The 26,625-nt window shown below is 37.3% G+C and overlaps 1 long non-coding RNA gene across 5 annotated transcripts in view, besides 1 other annotated feature; it reads right to left on the reverse strand.

The window, feature by feature from the left end:
- Positions 1-26,625, reverse strand: part of LOC102724687 (uncharacterized) — a 233,269-nt gene that overhangs the window by 44,019 nt on the left and 162,625 nt on the right. For 3 of the 5 annotated variants that reach the window (XR_929012.3, XR_428359.4, XR_001745952.2), the window contains exons 2-3: positions 21,137-21,218; positions 14,951-15,015 (exon numbers count right to left, since the gene is read on the reverse strand). This is a non-coding gene — a long non-coding RNA (uncharacterized LOC102724687). The remainder of the gene's footprint in view (positions 1-14,950; positions 15,016-21,136; positions 21,219-26,625) is intronic. The other 2 variants (XR_929013.3, XR_007060949.1) reach the window with 1 other exon arrangement.
- Positions 8,724-9,563: an enhancer, noted in NCBI's record as "OCT4-NANOG hESC enhancer chr8:67164075-67164914 (GRCh37/hg19 assembly coordinates)". NCBI's record gives its function as "activates a minimal SCP1, AML or CMV promoter by ChIP-STARR-seq in primed H9 embryonic stem cells {active_cell/tissue: H9 hESC(primed)}" and the evidence as "EXISTENCE:reporter gene assay evidence [ECO:0000049][PMID:30033119]".

The following is a 26,625-nucleotide window of genomic DNA, read 5'->3' on the forward strand; positions in this document are numbered from 1 at the left end:
TAAACCTTTAAGTGACAAAATTCTTCTCTTACAATATTAAGGGGATTAAATAACACATACAAAGTGGCTTGAAACTGTAAACAACTATTCTAAAATAAAAAGTTTATTTAATTTTTTAAAAAACTGGCTTGGAAGCCCTTGGGAATCCAATCTTACCTGACACAGATAAATAACCAAGCGTAAAGAACATCCAGTAACTGTATGTGCTGGATTCAGACAACGTCCTCTGATGCTCATACCCACACCTTGAAAGGCTCCCGCATCTCATGCATAGCCCACTTCCTTAAACCAAAGAAATCCTTGGGTTTACAGTGCAGGGCACAAAGCTGTACCACAAAGCACATCTGTTATAGCTTCTAGAGAGATGATTTGGCAATAATGAGTTGTGAAGCTGAAAGAAACTTTTCTAAACCATCAGTAATAACAATAGTACATTTTGATCAACCATGAGAAAAAAAACTAAATTGTCTTTCTATTCTTGCTGTAGAAAATATTACAAAATTGTCATAGGAAGAGATAGTAAAGAATTTACAGCCAAAAATGTAAGGGAAAATACTATAGCAAGCGTCAGGTATTTAATTTTGTAATGTTTATTACTTCTACCCGTTTTTTAAAACCTGTATTTTGCTGCGATTTGTTGGTATTTACAATTCTGTATCTCGTTTTGTATCTTTCACTTTATATTCTTTGTCTTTAATAAATATCAAAATTTTACCAGCTTTTGCCCTTTCAAAATTGAGTTCTGGCTAGGTGCAGTGGCTCACGCCTGTAATCCCAGCACTTTGGGAGGCCAAGGCAGGTGGATCACTTGAGGTCAGGAGTTCGAGACCAGCCTGGCCAACACAGCGAAACAAAGCCTCTACAGAAATACAAAAATTAGCCAGGCGTGGTGGCGGGCGCCCGTAATCCCAGCTACTCGGGAGGCTGAGGTAGGAGAATTGCTTGAACCCAAGAGGCGGAGGTTGCAGTGAGCAGAGTTAGTGCCACTGTACTCCAGTCTGGGTGACAGAGTGAGACTCCGTCTCAAAAAAAAAAAAAAATGAGTTCTACACTGATTGTAGATTCTCCCATAGGAGAAAATGTGATGAAAGTGGTGATATTGGGAGGCAAACAGGAGATTCAGGTTTAAATCCTATCCAAGTTTCTATCTCATAGTGATTATTCCTTTTATTCCCACAAGAATACAAATTTACCTTAGTTTGAGAAATACATAATAATCTTTATACAAGAATTGTCACAAAACAGTAGTGTCTGTCACACGGTAATTTCAATATAATAGTTACTAAATGTTAATTAAGAAAATGCTTATAATACATGCTGTGGCAGATTCTATTTCCTCCTTTTCTATAAATAATAATGAGAGCATATACTTTATTTGAGCTAATATGACTGCATCATGAATTCTTAAGTGGAAGACAATACAATATAAATATTAGCAAAATGAAAACTGAAAATATAGCACCCAAGTAATGATAATTAACAAGATGTGTTCACCTAAATAAAACTCTCATGCTATTAATTAAGCCCTCATAATTAAAAAAAAGAAAGGAAAAGAAAGGAAGGGAGGGAAAAGAAAATTACCTTTCATCAGCTCATTAGAGACTGGTTTTAAGAGAGAGTAAAGAGAAAAATAAAGAGGCAATTTTTTAAGCATAATGCTTTGCGTCTTTAAACTAGAAAAAAATTTTTTTGGATAGTTATTTATTTACTTATTTATTTATTTTTATTTTATTTTATTATTACACTAGAAAATTTTTAACAAATTAAAAATTTGGTTCCTTGAAGATGATGCAATCTAGATGGAGATGAAAAACAAAAAACACACATTATCATATTCACAAGGTGAAATGCCAAAGTATAGGTAGCATTATAAATATGACACTATTGTGATTTATTAAATCTAAAGATTGTCATGATTTTATAAAATCACTTCTAGACAAAATAGCAATGTTTGTGGATTTATTAAGAAATTCCTCACCAAGAGTTTTAATAGCATCTGGCTAATAGATTCTATCACAACTTTTGCCAACTTTTCACTAAAATGTTTACATAAATACTTGGAAAACAAAAAATACATAGCAAAATTACAATAATTGTCTTAGTCTGTTTTGTGCTGTTACAACAGAACACCTAAGACTGGATAATTTATAATAAACAGAAATTTATTTGACTCATGGTTCTGGAGGCTGGGAAATCCAAGATCAAGGGCCACATCTAGCAAGGGCCTTCTTGCTGCATCATCCCATGGTGGAAGGGCAAGAAAGCACATGTAAGAGAGCAAGAGATTGCTCAATTTCACTAATCATTAGGGAAATGAAAATTAAAACCACAATGCAATACTATCTCACACCTGTCAGAATGGCTATGATTAAAAAGTCAAAATAACAGACACTGGTGAAATTGTGGAGAAAAGGGAACATTTGTACACCGCTGGTGGGAATGTAAATTAGTTCAGCCACTGTGGAAAGTAGTCTGGAGATTTCTAAAAGAACTTAAAGTAGAACTACCATTTGACTCAGCAACCCCATTACTGGGTAAATACCCAAAGGAAGAGAAATCATTCCACTATAAAGGTGCATGCATATGTTCATTACAGCATTATTCACAATAGCAACGATGTGGAATCAACATTGATGTCCATCAACAGTGGACTGGATAAGGAAAATGTGGTACATATATGCCAGGGAATAGTACACAGCCATAAAAAAGAACAAGATCCTGTCATTTGCAGCAACATGGATGGAGCTGTAGGCCAATATCTTTAGTGAATTAACACAGGAACAGAAGACCAAATACTGCATGTTCTCACTTATAAGTGGCAGTTAAACATTGAGTACACATGGACACAAGAAGGAAAGAACAGACCCTGGGGCCTACTTGAGGGAGAAGGGTGAAGATCAAAATACTACATATCAGGTAGTATGCTGATTACGTGGGTAACAAAATTACCTGTAAACCAAACCCCTGAGACACACAATTTACCCATGTAACAAACCTACATACATACCCTTTGAACCTAAAATAAAAAGAAGAAAAAAAAGAGATGGAACTCACACAGCCCCAAGTGCTTTTAGCATCAGCATTAATCTATTCATAATGATGGAGCCCTCATGACCTAAACACCTCCTCTTAGGTCCCACCTCCCACACTGTTGCATTGGGGCCTAAGTTCCAACACATGCTTTTTGGGAAACACTTTCAGATTATATCAATACTAGTTGGAGAACTAAATCTGTCTCTCTCAGAGGTTGGCAAACCATGCAGACTGAACAGCATTTGAAAAACACAATTAACAGATTTATATATGAGATAAAAAGTCACTGTGTGCACCACAAAAAAGAATGCATATTTTTCTGAACTCCTATATATTATAAAATAAATCAACTAAGCATGAAATTAACGAGCCAGAAAGAGAATAACAAAATAAGTATCAACAGAAGGAGAATGAAGGAAAAAAGAAGCACAATGTAGGAAAAAATTAATGGAATAGAACACACTGAAGAGTAGACAAGATCAAGAAAATCAAAAGCTAGTTCTTTCAGAAAACAAATGAAACAGATAAACCTTTGGCAGTTCCAATGACAAAAAAGAGAAAAGACATAAATTTAAATATGAAAATAAAAAACAGAATGTAATAGCAAATAGAGATACACAAGAAGATGTTAGAATTATAAGAAAATGCTATGTAAAATTTTATAGAAATAAATTAGAAAATTTAAATGAAATGAATAATTTTTAAGGAAAAGATAATTGTTAAAATTAACTCAAGAAAGTCTTAGTCTGTTTTCTGCTGTTATAACAGAAAATTGCATAGATAAATAACTGTGGCGAAAAATGAAAAAGCAGCCACAGATCTATCTAATCCTAATATGAAGGCATTTAGGCCACTAAGTTTGGAGTGAGTGTTATAAATTGCTTGAGAAACAGATCGAATGTATGATATTCACATCCTTTCAGAGCACAAATAGGAAACTTCTCAACTGGTTCTGCTAATCTATCTGTGTAGATAAAATTGATTTCATCTTGGATACTAATCTGCCAGGTTGACTTCTGATTAGCCCCAGTTGTTGTGAGAAGTCAGGGACCCCGAATGGAGGGACCGGCTGGATCCGCGGCAGAGGAACATAAATTGTGATGATTTCATTTTAATATGGACATTTATCAGTTCCCAAATAATACTTTCATAATTTCTTAGGCCTGTCTTACTTTAATCTCTCAATCCTGTTATCTTCGTAAGCTGAGGATGTACCTCACCTCAGGACCACTGTGATAATTGTGTTAACTGTACAAGTTGATTGTAGAACGTGTGTTTGAACGATATGAAATCAGTGCACCTTGAAAAAGAACAGATAAGGACTGAGATACACCCTGGTCTCCTGCAGTACCCTCAGGCTTACTAGGGTGGGGAAAAACCCAGCCCTGGTAAATTTGTGGTCAGACCAGTTCTCTGCTCTCGAACCCTGTTTTCTGTTGTTTAAGTTGTTTATCAAGACAATACATGCACTGCTGAACACAGATCCTTATCAGTAGTTCTCCTTTTTCCCTTTGAAGCATGTGATCTACTCCCTGTTTTTGCACCCCCTCCCTTTTTGAAACCCTTAATAAAAAACTTGCTGATTTGAGGCTCAGGTAGGCATCACTGTCCTACTGATATGTGATGTCACCCCTGGCGGCCCAGCTGTAAAATTCCTCTCTTTGTACTCTTTCTCTTTATTTCTCAGCTGGCTGACACTTATGGAAAACAGAAAGAACCAACATTGAAATATTGGGGGCGGGTTCTCCCGATATTTTTGAAGCCTCTTAAGCTCATTTATCCATTGTGCCTGGAGCTGAGGCGTTAGATCAGGTGGCAGAAACTCTTTCTGGACTAAACCCCACGACTTGGATTAAGTCTATTGGGTGCTGCACTGTAGGAAATTTTGGAATCATGTTTCTCTGTTTAATCGGCTTGTTTTTAGTGTGCCAGACCAGTCAAAGAATCCTGCCTCAAAACCAAGAGAATGTACAAGCCTTCATCGCCATGGCACTGTTATATAAAAAGAAACGTAGAGATGTTGTGGCAAGTCAGGAACCCTGAATGGAGCGACCGGCTGGAGCCATGGCAGAGGAAAATAAATTGTGAAGATTTCATTTTAATATGGATACTTATCAGTTCCCAAATAATACTTTTATAATTTCTTATGCCTGTCTTATTTTAATCTCTTAATCCTGTTATCTTCGTAAGCTGAGGATGTACATCACCTCAGGACCACTGTGATAATTGTGTTAACTGTACAAGTTGATTGTAAAATGTGTGTTTGAACGATATGAAATCAGTGCACCTTGAAAAAGAACAGATAAGGACTGAGATACACCCTGGTCTCCTGCAGTACCCTCAGGCTTACTAGGGTGGGGAAAAACCCAGCCCTGGTAAATTTGTGGTCAGACAGGTTCTCTGCTCTTGAACCCTGTTTTCTGTTGTTGAAGATGTTTATCAAGACAATACGTGCACTGCTGAACATAGACCCTTATCAGTAGTTCTCCTTTTTGCCCTTTGAAGCATGTGATCTACTCCCTGTTCTTACACCCCCTCTCTTTTTGAAACCCTTAATAAAAAACTTGCTGGTTTGAGGCTCAGGTGGGCATCATGGTCCTACCGATATGTGATGTCACCCCCGGTCGCCCAGCTGTGAAATTCCTCTCTTTGTACTCTTTCTCTTTATTTCTCAGCTGGCTGACACTTATGGAAAATAGAAAGAAGCTACATTGAAATATTGGGGGTGGGTTCCCCTGATATTTTTGAAGCCTCTCAAGCTCATTTATCCATTGTGCCTGGAGCTGAGGCATTAGATCAGGTGGCAGAAAGTCTTTCTGGACTAAACCCCACGACTTGGATTAAGTCTATTCGGTGCTCCACTGTAGTACATTTTGGAATACGTTTTTCTGTTTAATTGGCTTGTTTTTAGTGTGCTGGACCAGTCAAAGAAACCTGCATCAAAACCGAGAGAATGAACAAGCCTTCATTGCCATGGCACAGTTATATAAAAAGAAATGGAGAGATGTTGTGGGAAGTCAGGGACACCGAATGGAAGGACCGGCTGGAGCCGTGGCAGAGAAACATAAATTGTGAAGATTTCATTTTAATATGGACATTTATCAGTTCCCAAATGATACTTTTATAATTTCTTATGCCTGTCTTATTTTAATCTCTTAATCCTGTTATCTTCGTAAGCTGAGGATGTATATCACCTGAGGACCACTGTGATAATTGTGTTAATTGTACAAACTGATTGTAAAACATGTGTGTTTGAACAATATGAAATCAGTGTACCTTGAAAAAGAACAGAATAACAGCGATTTTTAGGGAACAAGGGAAGACAACCATAAGGTCTGACTGCCTGCGGGGTCGGGCAGAAAGAGTCATATTTTTCTTCTTGCAGAGAGCCTATAAGTGGACTTGCAAGTAGGGAAGATATCAGTAAATTCTTTTCCTAGCAAGGAATAATAATATTAATACCCTGGGGAAAGAATGCATTCCTTGGGGGAGGTCTATAAACGGCTGCTCTGGGAATGTCTGTCCTATGCGGTTGAGATAAGGACTGAAATACGCCCTGGTCTCCTGCAGTATCTTCAGGCTTACTAGGGTGGGGAAAAACCCAGCCCTGGTAAATTTGTGGTCAGACAGTTTCTCTGCTCTCAAATCCTCTTTTCTGTTGTTTAAGATGTTTATCAGGATAATACCTGCACCAAGGAACATAGACCCTTATCAGTAGTTCTCCTTTTTGCCCTTTGAAGCATGTGATCTACTCCCTGTTCTTACACCCCCTCCCCTTTTGAATCCCTTAATAAAAAAACTTGCTGGTTTGAGGCTCAGGTGGGCATCACAGTCCTACTGATATGTGATGTCACCCCCCGTCGCCCAGCTGTAAAATTCCTCTCTTTGTATTCTTTCTCTTTATTTTCGACACTTATGGAAAATAGCATCTACATTGAAATATTGGGGGTGGGTTCCCCCGATACTCATTCTCATGAATGCCTCCTGATTTCTTCTTTATTTACTGTCCTTAGTGTAAGAACATGTCGACCTCAATGTTATCACACAAGTTACAGGCTATGATGCATACAGAATTCATACCTGTTCTGGACAGTCACCTTAAATAGTGTGGCTGGAGCATGCATGCCCTTTCCCTGTGGCATATAAATCCTGGGTCTTGGGGGAACAGCGTGGAGATCTACCTGTCTTATGGCTGCCCAAGACCATGATCTGTTTGTAAGTTCCCTCAATAAAGTCCCCTTTACCAATAAACTGGATTTGTTTGCCCCCTTCAGTTTCTTGGTTCCTTTGGCATTTGGGTGTTGCTTTGCACATACGGCCCTTTCATAGAATCCTATCCTAACTCTAACACCATATTTGGGTAAAAATAGCAGAAACACACATACACACACACACACACACAACTATAGGTCATTCTCATTAATGAGAATAACTATAAACATTTCTATGTGAAATATTAGAAAATGGAGTCAGCACTATTGTTATTAAATATGCATTATGAAAAAACAGACTTTATTTCAGAATTGTGAGGATTATTAGAATCTCAGTAGCTGTAATTCACAAGATTAACAGATTATGTGCAAAAAATTGTGATGATCTCCAATTACTCTAAAAAATATTTCATGAAATTTTAAACCTCTCTGAATAAAAAAACACATTATGAACAGGAATAAAACTTTCTTAAGGTAAAATATATCTACCAGAAACATAGAACAAATATACATAAAGTTTTTGTTGAAATAACTTTTATTAAATTCAGAAAACAAGGGTGCAGGTGGCTAGGCAGTATTTACTGACATTCTCATTGAATGCATTGAGATGACAAAAAGAAGTGTGAGAGCAAATTGTCGTTATTTGTACAAAATAATATTGTATAATCCAACAGAATCAACTGAAAACTATTAGAATTAATAAAAGAGCAGTAAATTTGCAGAATATAAAAAATCAAAAATATCTTTCTAAAATTCATTATTGCTTATATATAAATACATATAATATAAATATGAATATATAAATATATAAGCAACATATATAAGCAATAATATATTTATATATTAGTAATAATCAATTTTATATAGTAATATTTTATATTATATTATAAATAATATATAAATAATAAATATATAAGCAATAATCAATTTTAAGGGGATATTTATATATATTAGCAATAATCTATTTTAAAAGGTCATAAAAAAGGATACAATTCAAACTAATACCAATAAATGAACAGAAAACCTAGTAAAATATCTAATAAGAAATTCTTAAGACCTATAAAAATTGATGGAGCAACATAATAGAAGATTGGAAAAAATAAGAAAGAAAGCCATTTTTAAAAGTTGTCCATTATCCCCCAAATCATCTATAAATTTAATTAATCTCAACACAAATTCCAATAGAATATATATACATATATACTATACATATATATATATAGAGAGAGAGAGAGAGAGAGACAATAGGTTTTTGAAACAAAAGAACAAAATCTTTCCCTATAAGATTTTAAAATATACTGTAAGGCTATTAGTATTGAAGTAATATAGTAAAGTATAATGAAAGGAAATAATAACCCCCATGGGTTTATAGTGGGAAAGAACTTCTGTAGCAAAAGGCAGATTCACAAGAGAAAAACAAGCAAAGGTTTATTAACATGTATATTTCATATATACATGAGAGACACGCAGGGAATGAGTAGTTCTCAAAAAGGTGGCTTTAAATTTCAGCTGTAAACCAAACAGTATCTGAGACAGGTCTCAATCAGTTTAGAAGTTTATTTTGCCACGATTAAGAATCATGACCCATGACAGCCTCAGGAGGTCCTGAGAACATATGCCCGAGGCAGTTGGGTTACAGCTTGGTTTTATGTTTTAGGGAGGCATAGGACATCAATCAATACATGTGATGTATACATTGGTTTCATCTGGAAAGGTCAGACAACTCAAAGTGGGGTGGTGGGGCTTATGGGCCATAGGTGAATTTCAAGATTTTCTGATTGGCAATTGGTTGAAAGAGTTAAGCTCTGCCTAAAGAGTTGAAATCAGCTTAAGCTAAGGTAAGGGGTTGGGGGTTGAGGGAGGCAGGGCTTTTGTCATGTATATGAAGCCTCCAGGTAGCCTGTAGCCCACTTCAAAGAGAATAGATGTGACTGTCTCTTATCAAAGGTACCAGACTCTCTGGCAAGACCTAATAAAGGAAGAGATTCTCTACAAAATGTAAAATTACCCCAGCAAGAGATATCTTTGCAGGGCCATTTAAAACATATGTATTTCTTTCAGACCACTGCTATCTGTCATGTGATGCTATACTGGAGCCAGGTTGGAATTTGGTATCTTATGGCTACAAAGAGTCTCTTCTGTCAGTCTTAAGATCTCTATTTTAATGTTAATGCTGATCAGCTGTGTGCCTGGACTCCAAAGGGAGGAAAGGATCACTAGGCATGTCCAAACCCCCTTCCTGCCACGATCTGACCTAGATTTTCAGGGGTCGTTGGGTCCCCTTGGGCCAGAGGAGGGTCCACTCGATCAATTTTGAGGGGATTATAATTTTATTTTGGGTTTACATAGCTTATATAGCATCTTCAACAAAAACAAGTGAATTTCAAGAGAAGCAATATGAGAAAGAAGGACTTTGAATCTCTAAGAGCAGCAACTTGTGGAAATGCAAATAAATGGCAGATAAATGCTAGTTGGTAAAGCTCTGGTACAAGCTCTAGGTCAATAAGAATTCAAAGTTGTTTTTTGTGGATGACCTTTGCTCTCCCTGGTAGAAAGGTGGGCAGGATACCTTCTGTCTTTGTAAATCTATATCCTGGACCTATGGGAGGCAAATAGGAGGCTGGCAGAGAGCTTTCTTGCATTTGCTTCTTCTGAATTGCCTTCAGCTCAACAATCCTTCATATTTTGGGGGGCTTATTCTGCTCTCCCTCAATAGGTTCAAAAATAGACAAATTAAACAATAGAAAATAATTAAAAATCCAGAAATAGTACTGTGTGTCTCTTTCTGTCTCTCTGTGTTCCTCTCCTACCCCCTCCACCACACCCACAAATGCATGTTTGTAAGCACATACCCTGGAATTTAGTTTATATTAGATGTGACATTTTATATCAGAGGCAGGGAAACACAATGGAATATTCAAAAACAATTTGAGAATTATTCAGGATTCATTTGAGCAAAGACATTACATTTTTATTCCTACCTTACACCACAGAAAACTAAATTCTGGAGTAAGAGCTAATATTTAAAGCAAAACATTTTTTTTAAAGTTTGAAGAAAACATGGAATAAACTTTTACACTCTTGTGATGGGGCAGTGTCTAAACAGGGTACAAAACTAAAATAGCATCAAGGAAAAGATCAATTAATATAATGAAAAAAACCCTGAGTTTAATTATGTATGACAAAAGACTTTAATGAACTAAGTTAAAAATAAGAGTTTGGGAGAAAAAAACCTGCAACCTACATAACAAACAAAGGATTAATACCCAAAATATGCAAAGAGCTTCTACTGCAATCTGCTGTTGCAAAATTATAACTGAGAAAATTATTACAGTGAAAGATATCTGACCTAACAAACTCTATCCTGCTTCTAACCTCCAAGCTGTCCTTGGTCATTCCTGGGCATAGGCCAAACTAACTTTGGGAGGAACTTAGTTTATGGTTTAACTTTGAAACAAAGACTATAACAGCCCTTTCCCGAAACAAACCACTTTCCTGTCTGGGGACTAGACTGCCCTTGTAGGATTAACAAATTAGCCACAAGATTATAAATTATGGATTAGGAATCATGCAGCTAGAGGCTGCAAGATTCTGACCCTCCCCGAATTGCTCCCAGATATAACATCACTATTGTAAAACCTAAGATCAGTGCTTGAGATATTTTGCAGACCCTGCAGTTAATGGATCAGTTGGCACCACCCAATCAATAAACTGACTCGTCTTATGGTCTTGTGGATTTGAGGTCTTGTGGCCCCTACCCAGGAACTGACTCAGTGCAAGAGGACAGCTTTGGCTCCCTATGATTTCATCTCTGACCTAATCAATCAGCACTCCCAACTCACTGGCCCCCCCACCCACCAAATTATCCTCAAAAAACCTGATCCTCAAGTTGTCAGGGAGACTGATTTGAATAATAATAAAAGTCCAGTCTCCTGTACAGCCAACTTTGCATGAATTAAACCCTTTCTCTATTGCAATTCCTCTGTCTTGATAAATCAGCTTAGTCTAAGCAGCAGGTAAAGAGAACCTGTTGGGTGGTTACACAAGAAAAAATAGCCCATAAAAATAAGAATAAGTGATATGAACCAGTATTTAAAGATAAAATACAGTGTCCAATAACTGTATGAAAGATGCTCAACTTCACTAATAGTTATGGAGATGCAAATTAAGCAAGATTTTTTTTACCATAAGATTGACTCCAAAGTCTTAAATAGTCACAATATTTTATACATTTTTGTGGGGGTGTAGTGGGGATGTAAATATAGGAGACCAGAATATGCCACCTCAAAATATGACTATAGGAGACCAGAATATGCCATTCCAAAATATGCCTTGTTGGCATAAGGATTATTTTGAGCTGATTATTTTGAGAAATCGCAGACACAGAAGAAGCTCTGAAAATAAGAGTAGAAGTTATGCTTTTGTATCGGAAATTTACATCTCTGAAGGAATTCTCCATTTGTAAGGGTGTCTCCCTCTCTGTACCAGGAAGGGAAGTATTATTCTAAATCAATAGAGACTCTTATCAATGGAGAAGGCATCCACTTAAATCTGCATAACAAGACTTACTCTTGTCTATTGTCTTGCTTTTCCTGGTCATCTACCTATAACTGGCCTTCCCTAAACCCTCCTTTCTTTGTTTCAGCAGACATGGTATTTAAATATGAATTCAAAGCCAACTCTTTGAGATTTAAAAGAATCCTTTCTCTGGGTATCTCCTATGTATATATGAGGTATACAGGTTAATATACTTCTGTTTGTTTCTCTCTTGTTAATCTGTCTTTGGCTACATGGGTCCATCCTAACTAAGAACTATAAGAGTAGAGGAAAACATTTATTCCTCCCTACAGAAATATGGTACATTTGACCACACTAAATCTGGCTTTCCTAAGGTCATTCTCTCAGCTCTAGCCTTTAAATCTGAGAAAAGAAAATGGCATAATGTGAAATTTCCATTATTAAAGACCAGGTCCTTCTCCAGAGGAAGAAAAAATAATGTTTAAGATAGGAAATAATTTCATTTGAAATCTTTAAGAGAACATGTTCTCAGTTCTTTCATACATAAAGACAAAAGTAAACAGAATGTTATTTGAGATGAACAGATATTTTCATGCAAAGTTGCCTGAACAATTCATCCAGAACCCTGGATCATCACCACCTCAGCAGTGAATACTAGATGAAGTACAGAATATGTATAAAGAGTTCTTCTTTCACAAGCTATCCAGTCACTTAGAATCCAAATACAAATTTATATCCTAATTCTGGAGGCTGTTCTTCAGTGCATTTTATTTTAAAATAAACTTACAAATCACATAACATCCCATAACAGTGGGAAAATGAAGCAGTCTTGGGTAAATACCATCTCTATTATTTCAAGTAGACAGCATATTTGGGCCCTTTACCTTATCACCACTTATAAGAAATCTACACTATACAAAACTCTTTCTTCCATATCAACTCAGTAATTTGCAACATAGTCACCAATGTAAATGTAAGAGGAAAATATATGAAAGGAAATAATCCCCAGGGACACACACACACACACACACACACACACACACACACACACACACACAGGTGTCATCAGAAATGGAAGGAACACATTTCCAATGTGAACAGAAAAGTAAAAATATGTCCATCTATTAAACATTGCCTTCCGTTTCTTCATATATTCATTCAATGGGCATTTGGGGGAAGGGCGCTAAGCACTGTTCTGAGAATACAAAGATGAGTAAGGCACAACCCTTCAAAGACATGGTCTAATGGGAGAGGCAGACAGATAATTACAAGGCAATATTTTCACTGCTGTAAGCAGGGATATGTGAAGAAGTATGAGGGGGCATAGACACAGGAACTGTAACTACATTTGAGAAATCAGAAAATAAATACATAAACATTTGAGCTCAGTTTCAAAATTCCACATTATGCAATAGCACTAGTTAAAGCTCCAGAATTATGCAGTAGAATTTCTATTATGTCTGACATAGGAATATTAGTCATCAAAAGCAATAGCTGAAAGCACCAACCTAAAGATATGAATAGAAAGTAAGAAAGGTCTTGTAAGGTACACACATTTGAGGAAATTAGAAGAGCTAACAAGCTCAGAACAAAGCAAGAATATCCATTCTTGCCAATTCTGTTCAACATTACAATAAGTACAATGAAATAAAAAGGCAAAAATTGGAAAGGAAGAAATAAAACTATCTTTGTTCACAGATGATATAATTGTGTATGTAGAAAATCCTAAGGAAACTACCAAAAATACTAGATGCCAGGCACAGTGGTTCATGCCTGTAATCCCAACACTTTGGGAGGCTGAGGTGGGAGGATTGCTTGAACTTAGAAGTCTAAGACCAGCCTAGACAACATAGCAAGACCCTGTCCCTACAAAAAATTTTTAAAATTAGCCCAGTGTGGTGCTGTGTGCCTGTAGTCCCAGCTGTCAGGAGGCAGAGGTGGGAGGATCGCACAAGTGCAGGAACTCTAGGTTGCAGTGAGCCATGAGCACGCCACTGCACTCCAGCCTGGGCAACAGAGTGAAACGCTGTCTCAAAAATATAGATGTACATATATACTAGAATAAGTAAATTTAGGTCAATGTACATAAATTAACTGTACTTTCATATAGCTGCAACAAACAATTGAAAAATTAAGCAAAAAAATTTACAATAGCATCAAAAATTTAAAATAATTATGAATAAATTTGACAAAGGTTGTCTAAGACTTCATGTTGAAACTACAAAATATTGCTGAGAGGTATTAAAGACTTCCCAAATCAATGAAAATATATACCATGTTCATGGATCAGAAGACTTGACATTGTTAAGATGTCAATTCTCCCCGAATTGATGTATAGATTTACTGCAATCCCAATTAAAATCCAAAAATGTTTTTTTGTAGAAATCAACAATTTGATTTGAATATGAGAATATGAATGACAGAATGACAGAAAATACTCAATACAACAATAAAAAGGAAGAATGATGTTGGAGGATTTGCACTACTTGGTTTTAAGATTTCCTATAAAGCTACAATAATCAAAACACTGTGGTATTTATGTGGTATTGATTGCCGCTGGATTGACTGGAAAGACACTTAAAGGAAATTTCTGGGACAAAGTAAATGTTCTATATCTTAATTGATGTGGTGACTTCACAGGTGTATAGTTTATCAACATAAACATTTGAATACCCATAATGTACCAGTTTGTCTTAACCACTCGAGATGCATCAGTAAAAAACAACAAAAAAGGAAAAGACAGAGATGCTGTCATGGAACATACATCTTAGCAGGGGTTAGGGAAGAAAGAGAGACATATAATAAAGAAAACATATAATATAGAAATTATATGGTTTTTTAGAGGGTAGCAGTACTGTGGAAAAAGAAAAAGTCCAGTAGGTTAAAGGGCTGGGAGAGTGCAATTTTATAGTACGTTGTCAGAAAAGGCCTCACTGGGAAGGTAACAGTAAAGCCAACACTTGACAGAATAGAATGAGTTAGACATGCTCTTACTCCCTAGGGGAAGGAGTGTTCCTAGGAACTGCAAAGATGCCAGTGTACCTGCAGAAGAGCTTTCTTAGTGCAGCACCACTCAAACAGAACTGTTCTCTAAAGATATGGCAAGCACATCCCTGAGTGGCTCCACTTGAGCTTATCACAATGAGATTTACACTCATCAAATCTCATTCCATGTGCTTTTGACTTACTATTTTGATGTTGCATGCATGAAGCAGGAGGTAAATTCCCTCACTGTTGAGTTCTGGTCAGCAACCTAGGATGGAAGGACATTGGTACACCCTCAATATGTCTGATTTTATTTCTGAAAGGTCAAAACCAAAACCAAAACAAAACACAAAAATACAAACAGTGCTCATTTCCCAGTGGCTCTTGGGTCCTGCATTGGAGGCAGAGAGAGAGCAATTGGGGATAAATAAGAATGCTATAAATTCTTGAGAGCTCTCCAGGGAGAAGTAAGCTGCTTCTGAAAGAAAACAGTAGGACAGGACCATAGCCAGGATCTACACAATTTTGAAAAGAGTTGACACTTACTGAGGTCCCAGAATATTAGTGCTATGTGGTCATGCAAAGTGGGAATTTATTTTGTTGTTCTTCAGAGTATTCTGGAAGACAGTCTATTTATCTTGTTTTGTCCAAAAGGGGCAGCAGTGTTATGACTATACACATCATTTGTCCACCCAGTTTGAACAGCTTCCCTTAGGACATAATTCAGATGGCAGAGTGGATGATACTAGCCTTTATCCCCTTGACACAAGACAAAATATATAGATAGCTATCCACAACCAGAATAGCCCTGAAAGAGCTCAAAGGCCCATTAAAGATCTTTTATGTGTGAATATTCTTTTTGGTTTTGTTCCACTGTGTTCCATCTACAGGAAGACAGTGGAGCAAAAACAAAAAGAATATTCACACAGAAAAGATCCCTGCTGAAGCTGGCATACCTGAGAATTCAGGAGACTGCTAGGAACAAAGAAGAAAGGCTGAGGCTATCAGCCACATGGGGGGAATTACTGTGGTCCCCAGTGACCTGCTCTACAGAGGACACTAGCATCATTTGCCATTGAGGTAACCAACAGCCATTTCCTCCAGGGAACCCCAGAGAGGAAGACACAGCTGCGCACCCCTCCTGCCCTAAGCAGCAGCCACTGTTGAGCTGCTTTAGGAAAGGAGCTAAGGGAGGAGACCACCCCTCATATTGTCTTATGCCCAATTTCTGCCTCCAAAGAAAGAAAAAGTGAAAACTAAAAGGCAGAAATGAAATCCACAAGCAGACAGCCCGGCGCCACACCCTGGGCCTGGTAGTTAAAGATCAACCCCTGACCTAATCGGTTATGTTATCTATAGATTACAGACATTGTATAGAAAAGCACTGTGAAAATCCCTATCCTGTTTTGTTCCGATCTAATCACCAGTGCATGCAGCCCCCAGTCACGTACCCTCTGCTTGCTCAATCGATCACGACCCTCTCACGCGCACCGCCTTAGAGTTGTGAGTTCTTAAAAGGGACAGGAATTGCTCACTTGGGGAGCTCGGCTCTTGAGACAGGAGTCTCGCTGATGCCCCCGGCCGAATAAACCCCTTCCTTCTTTAACTCGGTGTCTGAGGAGTTTTGTCTGTGGCTCGTCCTGCTACAGAGCCACCATCTTTCCCAACCCTGCACTTGTCCTGGCCCCCAAGCTGGGACTGAACTGCATGTGCCCACACTGCAGACTTGGTCTCTGTGGCGACACTCCTCTCACCCACATCTCAGACACCACAGCCATCACCATGGTGAGCTAGTTCACACTCTGGACCCTGGAGCCAAGCTCTTACTGCATACACTCAAACTCTGGACTTCAGCTCAGCCACTACAGAAAGGTAGGCTCCATGCTAACCTTGGAGCCACTGTAACTCCGTCTCAACCTGTGTTCCTATTCTGGTTCCCTGGCTACTTCACAAGTACCCACACCTTACATGCTGTTGGCAATGTGGCAGCAGGAGTGCTTGAACCCTAAGGACCAGTGCCATAGCTGCCCCACATCCCAGAACTGTAGTCTCTTCACACATACCCGTGCTTCAGGCCTCAGCCCTGTAACTACTCCACAGGCAACACACTTAAGACACTGGTGCCACTGCCACTTCAGGTGGGCCTGCAAACCAGACCCAGTGCCAACAGGAATCCCTTTAGCCAAAACTTCCACAGTGGAAAAAAAAATAGATCAGGAGAATCTTAGTAATCATTACGATCATAGACCCCAGCAATCTTCACCACCACCGCAGACATCCACAACATTGAGTGCTGAGGATCTCTGCAATCATTGTCAACACTAACCTTAGCTGACAGAGCTGCACAATGACTACACGACTGCATCCTCATTGGTGCCAGAACCACTGCACCCCACTCAGCAAGCACCCTCACACCCTTCCACCAGAAGAAAGTATTTTCATAGCAAAATTAGCCTTTAAAGTCTGCAATAGGTTACTGCTCCACCAAACAGGCAGACATCAACATAAGGCAAGAAGAAACATGACAAGTCAAAAAGACATAACACAACCAAAAGAACACAATAATTTCCCAGTAGCAAGCCTCAAATAAATGGAGATATACAAACTGCATGACAAAGAATTCAAAAAAAATTGTTTTAAGGAAGCTCAGTGAACTTCAAGAAAATACAGAGTAATAAGTCAGTGAAAGCAGGAAAACAATAAATGACCAAAAATAGAAATTTGGCAAAAAGATTAACATTATTTTTAAAATTAAATAGAAATTCTGGAGCTGAAAAATACAATGAAGAACATGAAAAAAATGAATGTGATAGTGTCAACAGCAGAATTGATCAAGCAGAAGAAACAATCTGTGAACTCAAAAATAAGTTATTTGAAAATACACAATCAGAGCCAGGAAAAGAAAAAAATGAAAAGGAATGAAGAAAGCATACAGGATTTAGGGGACAGCATTAAAGAGTGAATATTCAAGCTACAGGTGTTAAAAGAAGGAGAAGAGAGGAAAAAAGTATAAAGTATACTTAAAGAAATAATAGCAAAAAACTTTCCAAATCTGGGAGGAGATAGAAATAGCCAGGGATAAGGAGGTCAAAGGTCTCCAATCAGATTCAATAAGACTACACCAAGACATATTATAACCAAACTGTAAAAATGAAAGACAAAGGGGAAACTCTGAAAGCAGCAAGAGAAAAGAAGCAAATCACATATAAGGGAGTCCCAATAAGGCTAGCAGCAGAATTCTCAGCAGAAATGTTACAAGCCAGGAGAGAGTGGGATGATATATTCAAAGTGCTGAAGAAAAAAAAATTAAGAATAAGTAAACCAAGAATACTTTATCCACCAAATCTGTCTTTCAGAAATGAAGGAAAGGTAAAGATTGTCCCAGACAAGCAAAAGCTCAGGGAGTTCATTACCACCAGAACTATCTACAGGAAATGCTACAGGGAATTATTCAAAATAAAAAAAGATGCTAATTAGTAACAAAAAACATAGAAAAGTATGCAACTCACTTGTAAAAATATGTACACACTCAAATTCAGAATATGTTAATACTGTAATGATGGTGGGTAAATCACTTATATTGTTAGTATGACAGGTTAAAAGACAAAACTGTTAAAAAATAGTAATAGCTACAATAATTTGTTAAGGAATATACAATATAAAAAGATGTACATTGTGACAACAAAAACATAAAGTGTGGGTGACAAGAGTAAAAGTGTAGAGTTATTTTATGCAATCAAAGTTAAGTGTTATCAGCTTAAAATAGCTTGTTATAACTACAAGATGTTTTATGTTAGCCTTATAAGGCTAACCACAAAGTAAAAACCTATAGTAAGTGCATAAAATGTAAAATGTAAAAAATAAGGAATCAAAACACACTAGTAGAGAAAAATCCTCTAATAACAGAGGAGGAAGACAGGAAGAAAGAAACAACAAGAGAGAAAAAAAGAAATGATCTACCAAACAACCAGAAAACAATGAACAAAATGTCAGTAGTAAGTCCTTACCTATGAATAATTATCTTGACTATAAATGGATTAAATTCTCCAATTAAAGACAAGGATTAGATGAATGGATAAAGAAAAAAAAAAAACACAACTATTTGTTACCTACAAGAGAATCACATCACCTTTAAAGACACATATAGATTGATAGTGAAAGGATGGGAAAAGATATTCCATGGGAACAGAAAACAAAAAGAGCAGGGGTACCTATACTTGTATCAAATCAAATAGATGTAAGCCAGAATATGTAAAACAAGACAAAGAAGGTCATTATATAATGACAAAGGGATCGATTTATCAAGAGGATATAACAGTTATAAATATATATGCATCCAATATCAGAGCACCTAAATGCATAAAACACTATTAATAGATCTGAAGAGAGAGATACTGCAATACAATAATAGTAGGGGAATGCAATACCCCACTTTCAGCAATGGACAGATAATCCAGATAGGAAATCAACGAGGAAACATTGGACTTTATGTATTAGACTAAATGTACCTAATAGACATGTATAGAACATTCTATCCAACAGCAGCAGAATACACATTCTTCTCAAGCACATCCAGGATAGTCTCCAGGATAGATCATATGTTAGACAGAGATCAGTCTTAACACATTTGAGAAGACTGAAATCACATCAAGCATCTCTACCAATCACAATGGTATAAAACTAGAAACCAATAATAGGAGAGATTTCAGAAAATTTACAAATATGTCAACATTATAACAACATTATCCTTAATAACATGATCCTTAGTAACATAAAAACATAGAAAAGTATGAAACTCACTTGTAAAAGTATGTACACACTCAAATTCAGAATGTGCTAATACTATAATGATGGTGTGTAAATCACTTATATCTTTAGTATGATGGTTAAAAGACAAAACTGTTTAAAATAGTAATAGCTACAATAGCTCAAAGAGGAAATTCAAGGGAAATGTTAAAATATCTTGAGACAAATTAAAATGGAAACACAAAGGGCCAGGCACAGTGGCTCAGGCCTGTGATCCTGGCACTTTGGGAGGCTGAGGTGGACGGATGACCTGAGGTCAGGAGTTCAAGACCAGCCTGACCAACATGGTGAATCCCCATCTCTACTAAAAACACAACATTAGCTGGGCATTGTGGCGCATGCCTGTTATCCCAGCTACTTAGGAGGCTGAGGCAGAAGAATCGCTTGAACCTGGGAAGTAGGGGTTGCAGTGAGCCGAGATCACGCCATTGCACTCCAGCCTAGGCCACAAGAGTGAAACTCCATCTCAAAAAAATAAATAAATAAGATAAAATGGAAATACAAAGGAATGCAGCAAGAGCAGTTCTAAGAGAAAAGTTTGTATTAATAAATGCCTACATCAAAAAGAAAGATCCAAAATAACCAACTAATGTTACACCTCAAAGAACTAGAAAGAGAAAAACAAACTAAGCCCAATGTTAGTAAAAGGAAGGACATAATAAAGATTAGAGCAGGCCAGCGTAGGGCTCACGCCTATAATCCCAACACTTTGGAATGTTGAGGCACGATTGCTTGAGCCCAGAAGTATGAGACCGGCCTGGGCAACATAAGGACACCCTGTCTCTACAAAATAAAAATAAATCAGCCAGGCTTGGTAGCATGCACTTACAGTCCCACTACTTGGGAGGCTGAAGTTGAAGGATCAGTTGAGCCCAGGAGTTCGAGGCTGCAGTGAGCCATGATCATACCATTGCACTCCAGCCTGGGTGACAGTGAGACCCTAGCTCAAAAAAAAAAAAAGATCAGAACAGAAATAAATGAAATAGAGAGTAGAAAAGCAATAGAAAAATAAAAAATATAAACATAATTAAGAGTTGGTTTTTTGAAATAATAAAATAATAAATTCAGATAGATTAAGAAAAATAGAGGAGACAAATAAAATCAGAAATGAAATAAGAGATATAACTGATGCCACAGAAATACTGAGGATCATAAGAAACTACTAAGAAAAATTATACACCAACAAATTGGAAAACCTAGAGAAATGAATGAATTCCTAGAAATAGAAAATCTGAACAGACCAATAACAAGTAAGGAAATTGAATCAATAATTTAAAATCTCCCATAGAAGAAAAGCCCAGGACCATCAGGCTTCGCTGTTGAATTCTACCAAACATTTAGAGAACTAATGCTAATTCTTCTCAAATTCTTCCAAAAAATTGAGGAGGAGGGACTACTTCCAAACTCATTTTTTGAGGCCAGTATTACCCTGATAACACCCAGACAAGGACTGTACAAGAAAATAAAATCACAGGCCAACATCCCATATGAACATAGATGCAAAAATCCTCAACAAAATACTAAAAAACCAAATTCAGCACTGCATTAAAGAATCATTCACCATGCAAGCTTGTCCAACTCACCTTATTTTGTTGTTGTTGTTCTTCTGTTTTGTTTCATGTTAGGTTTTTAGCAGCCTGAAACCATGGTTTTCAGTTTCTGTCTCTAGTGATAAGCAGAAAAGAGAAATGAGAAAGGGGCTTTACCAGCCCTGCCAGAAGCAGAAGCTAAGAACCCATGACAGGGACACCTTTGGACATCCCTGTAGGGGATTTAATCCTGGGGTACAAGGATGCTTCAATGGATGCAAATCAATAAAATGTAACACATCACATTAAAAAAAGGACAAAAATCATGTGATCATCTCAATAAATGCAGAAAAGGCATTCAAAAAATTCAACATTCTTTCATGATAAAAACGCTCAAGAAATTATGTATAGAAAAAATGTACCTCAATCCAATAAAAGCCATATGAGACAAACTCATAGCTAACATTATACTCAATGGTGAAAGACTGAAAGCTTTTCCTCTAAGATTAAGACAAGGGAGCTGGGCATGGTGGCATGTGCCAGTAATCCCAGCTACTCAGGATGCTGAAGCAGGAGGATTGCTTGAGCCCAGGAGTACAAGACCAGCCTGGGCAACATAGTGACATCCCGACTCTGAAAAGAAAAAAAAAAAAAAAAAGAGCAAAACAAGGATGCCCATTCTCAACACTTGTATTCACATAGAACTGGAAGTTCCTAACCAGAGCAATTAGGCAGGAGAAAGAAATAAATGTCATCCAGATCAAAAAGGAAGAAGTTAAATTGTCTCTGCAGATAACATGATCTTATACACAGAAAAACCCTAAAAATCTCACCAAAAATTTGTTAAGACTAATAAATGAATTGAGTAAAGTTGCAGGATATAAAATCCACATAAAAAAATCAGTAGCATTTCTATACATCAATAATGAGCTAGCTGAAAAGGAAATCAAAACAATTGCATTTATGACAGCTACCAAAAAAAAATACTTCAGAATAAATTTAACCAAGGAAGTAAAAAACCTGTACACTGAAAACTATAAAACATCGATGAAAGAAATTAAAGACACAAATTAATGAAAATATTGTTTTGTTCATCCATCAGAAGAATCAATATTGTTATAATGTCCATACTCCCCAAAACTACAGATTCAATGCAATCTCTATCAAAATTCCGATGACATTTTTCACAGAAATAGAAAAGATAGTCCTTAAATTCATATGGAACTACAAATGACCTTAAATAACCAAAGCAATCTTGAGCAAAAAGAACAAAGCTGAGGGCATTATACTACCTGATTTCAAAATATACTACAAAGCTATAGTAATCAATACAGTATGGTACTGGCATAAAAAACAGACACATAGACCAATGGAATAGAATAAAGACCCAAAAATAAATCCATGCATTTATCGTCAACTGATTTTTGATCAACATGCCAAGAATATACAATGAGTAAAGAACAGTCTTTTCAATAAATGGTGCTATGAAAACTGGATATCCACATGCAGAAGAATGAAATTGGACCCATATCTCACCTCATATACAAAAAGTAACTCAAAATAGATTACAGACAGAAACACAAGACCTGAAACTATAAAACTACTGGAAGAAAATGTGGGAAAAGCCTTCTTGACATTGTATGGGCAAAGATTTTTTGGCTATGACCCCAAAAGCACAGGCAACAAAAGCAAAAATTAACAAATAGATTACACCAAACTAAAAAGCTTCTAAACAGCAAAGGAAAACAATCAACAGAGTGAAGAGGCAACCGAGGAATGGGAAAATAAATTTGCAAACCATACAACTATATGAGCTAGCTGAAATATGAGCCAACTGAAAAAGAAATTAAGGGGTTAATATCCAAAAAATATAAAGAACTCATATACTCAATAGCAAAAAACAATCTGATTAAAAATGGGCAAAAGATCTGAAGAGACTTTTCTCAAAAGAAGACACACAAATGGCAAATAGGTATATGAAAAAAATGCTCAACATCATCCTTAGGGAAATGCAAATTAAAACCACAAGGTATCACCTTACACCTACTAGAAAAGCTATTATCAAAAAGATGTAAGGTATAAGTGTTAGCAAGGATGTGGAGAAAAGGAAATCCTTGTACACTGTTGGTGGGAATGTAAATTAGTACAACCATTATGAAAAACAGTATGGAGTTTCCTCAAAATATTAAAAATGGAACACCATATGATCCAGCAATATCACTACTGGGTATAGATCCCACGGATATGAAATTGGTATGTTGAAGAGATATCCACACGCTTATGTTCATTACAGCATTATTCACAATAGCTAAGATATGGAATCAACCCATGTGTCCAACAACAGATGAATGGATAGAGAAAATGTGGTACATATACACAATAGAATATTATTCAGCCTTAAAAAAGAAGGAAATCCTGTCATTTGAGACAACATGGATAAATCTATAAGACATTATGTTAAATGAAATAAGCCAGGCACAGAAAGACAAATACCACATGAGGTCGCTTATATGTGGAATGTAAGAAAGTTAAATTCATAGAAGCAGAGTAAAATAGTGGTTACTCTAGGCTGGGGCTGGGAGGGAGATAGGGAGATGTGGGCCAAAGGATACAAAATTTCAGCTGGATGGAAGGAATAAGCTCAAGAGAGCTACTGTACATTATAGTGACTACAGTTAATAACAATACATTGTATACTTGAAAACTGCTCAGATCAGATTTTTAAATGTCCTCACCACACACACCAAAATGATACGTGAGGTAATGCATAGGTTAAAAAGCTTGATTCAGCCATTCTAAAATGTATACATACATCAAAACATCACACTATACACCATAAATACACACAATGTTTATTTGTCAATTTAAAAAAAATTTTTTAACAGTTTTCCTAAACAATGCCTTTCCTTTTTTTTTTTTTTTTAAGCTTGGGCCATCCTAAAGGCAGCCAAAGAGTAGTTGGAAATAACTGAACTGACACTATGAAGTATCCCACAGATCCCTAAATAGTTCAACATCAATGCCAAAAACAAAAAAAAGCATAAATATTAGACACCAACTCCTATTCTCAGAGACACAGCCCCGCCTAAGAGAGACATGTCCAGAAATCACAGCAGTAGTGGAGCCTGTGTGTGGAGGTAGGAAGTGAGAAGAAGGAAATTTGGCTACTATAGTTCAGCCCTGTTATTCATAACACGCTTGAGTCTAGTTTTAGCCAATTCCTGTCAAACTGGCCTGGCCTGTCATTGCAAATTTAGTATCAAGCTACTGATGGAGTTTAATGACTTGGTAAGAAATATAGATCCATCTATTTCATGGCAGCTGAGCCGCAGTTCTATTGCTTTAAGGAAACATTTGGTATTGACTTAACATGATGCTTATTAAATCTAAATCAAATGTGAATTAATCAACTTGAAAGTATTGTCTAATTTTCTTATTGGTATTAATGCTGATATCCCATAACAAATGCTTTGGAGTGAAAACACTTAACCTACATATATCGCCCCAAGTTTCCTGTATTGTTTTAATTTAACTGTATTCAGTTTTAATTTGTGTGACAAGTTTCACCTCACAAGGTGCTTCCTCCTGTTTAACTATTTCTAAGTGCACATGGAGGTCTATTTACATATTAATTTCTGCTAGAATTACAGACATATCCACCTTCACTTCTCCTCCCCAAAGGATCGAAAAGGCCTCTTGAGTGGCCATAAATGTCTCATTATAAACACTTAATTTAACACTGCGTCACAGTTAGAGTCAATCTGGCCTGCGCTCTCATGCCAAAAAGCAAAACCTTTCAAGCTGTGCATTTTTGCTATTAACTTTCCACTGTGACTTTAGAATCTCAATCAATTCTTTAAGAAATGCAAATGCTCTTTTTTCTTTGGCTTAGCAGTAGCCACTGGGAAATACATTTGTATAATTCCTTCCTGGCCATGCATGGGCTGTAACAATAATCAAAGCTACCAGGCCAGAGAAGATATTCCAGAACATACTCAACTTTTTCCAACTTACTGTCAGAGGCCATTGAAATTTCAGCCTTCTACTTGGCCCAGCCAGGAAGATAGTGAAAGTGCCTTTAACCAAATCCAAATGCAGGCTGTCTACAGGATTAATCTTTTGTGAGATGGAGTTTCACACTTGTTGCCCAGGCTGGAGTGCAATGGCATAATCTCGGCTCACTGCAACCTCCACCTCCCGCGTTCAAGCGATTCTCCTGCCTCAGCCTCCCAAGTAGCTGGGATTACAGGCGTGCACCACCATGCCCAACTAATTTTGCATTTTCAGTAGAGACGGGGTTTCACCATGTTGGCAAGCTAGTCTCGAACTCCTGACTTCGGTGATCTGCCCACCTCGGCCTCCCAAAGTGCTGGGATTACAGGTGTGAGCCACCGCATCTGGCCCAGGGTTAATCTTAATCTGTTTCTCCAATTATATTTCCACTAATGCTACTGAACCCTTGACCTCCAATCCACCCTCTGCTTTCCTGCTAGGGTGCTTTAGGGCCCTTCATGTGCTGACCCAGACAGCCCCTCCAGGCTCCTCATCTTCACTCCCCCCACATACCTATGCTCATAACCCCAGTAACACACCTGTGCTCTACTCACGGTATCACAAGCAGTTCCCAAACTCACCATGGTGTTGTTGCCTCCCCACCTTTTACACATGTTCCTTCTGCCAGCAATATCCTTGTGCCCCTGTCCATCTCCCACCCAGCCTTCCAAACTCAGTTCAAAAGCCCTTTCCTCTGTGAATTCTTCACTGATCGCACTCTCCAGCCCTACCAAAGTCGAGCATTTTCTCCTCCGATTCCTGTAGCACTGTGGGACCTTCTCTATCCTAACATGTATCATATCATATTTGATTATGTATTTACATGGCTGTCTCCCACAAGGCTGTGAGCCCATTAAAAGTGGGATTGGCTTTTATCCTTGTATCCCCAGCTGCTTGTACCATGCCTGGCATCTGGCAAATAATCAAGAAATCTTTATGGAATAAACAGAAAAAGGTGATATAAATGTAAAAGGAAAAAATTTCTCAGCACTCCTGTGCATGTAGAGGAGGCAGGTGAATTCCACATTTATGGCGATGGATAACCTGTGCTTAGAGTGGACCTAAATCCCTGACCAAGAAAAGAAGTTTGGAAATGACACCATTATTTGCAGATCCCCTCTCACCAGTTGTTATGTCTGTGCCTCATGGGACATGGGCAAGGATCATGGAAGAATTTACATATATATATGTAAATTAGCTGTGTGGTTTCCTGGTGGCTGGATCTCAGGATAAGGGGATTGAAAGCTAAAAACACTAAAACAAATATGGAAAATAACAGAACCAAAAAAATGACCGAATGGGAAAAAAATGCCCTTGACCTTACCACAGTTCCTGATTCTCTGTGGTTATGGGATTGGCAGAGCTTGGATAAACTAAATCAGTGGAAAATCCCCATATCTTATTTCCATTTCCAGCCTCCTACCAAGAAGGCTTTTTCCTAGCTAATAGCACTGACCTTCCCTGTCAACCTTCATGTAAAGATGCTAACG

The sequence above is a fragment of the Homo sapiens genome, chromosome 8 (assembly GCF_000001405.40).
Source record: "Homo sapiens chromosome 8, GRCh38.p14 Primary Assembly".
Taxonomy (NCBI): domain Eukaryota; kingdom Metazoa; phylum Chordata; class Mammalia; order Primates; family Hominidae; genus Homo; species Homo sapiens.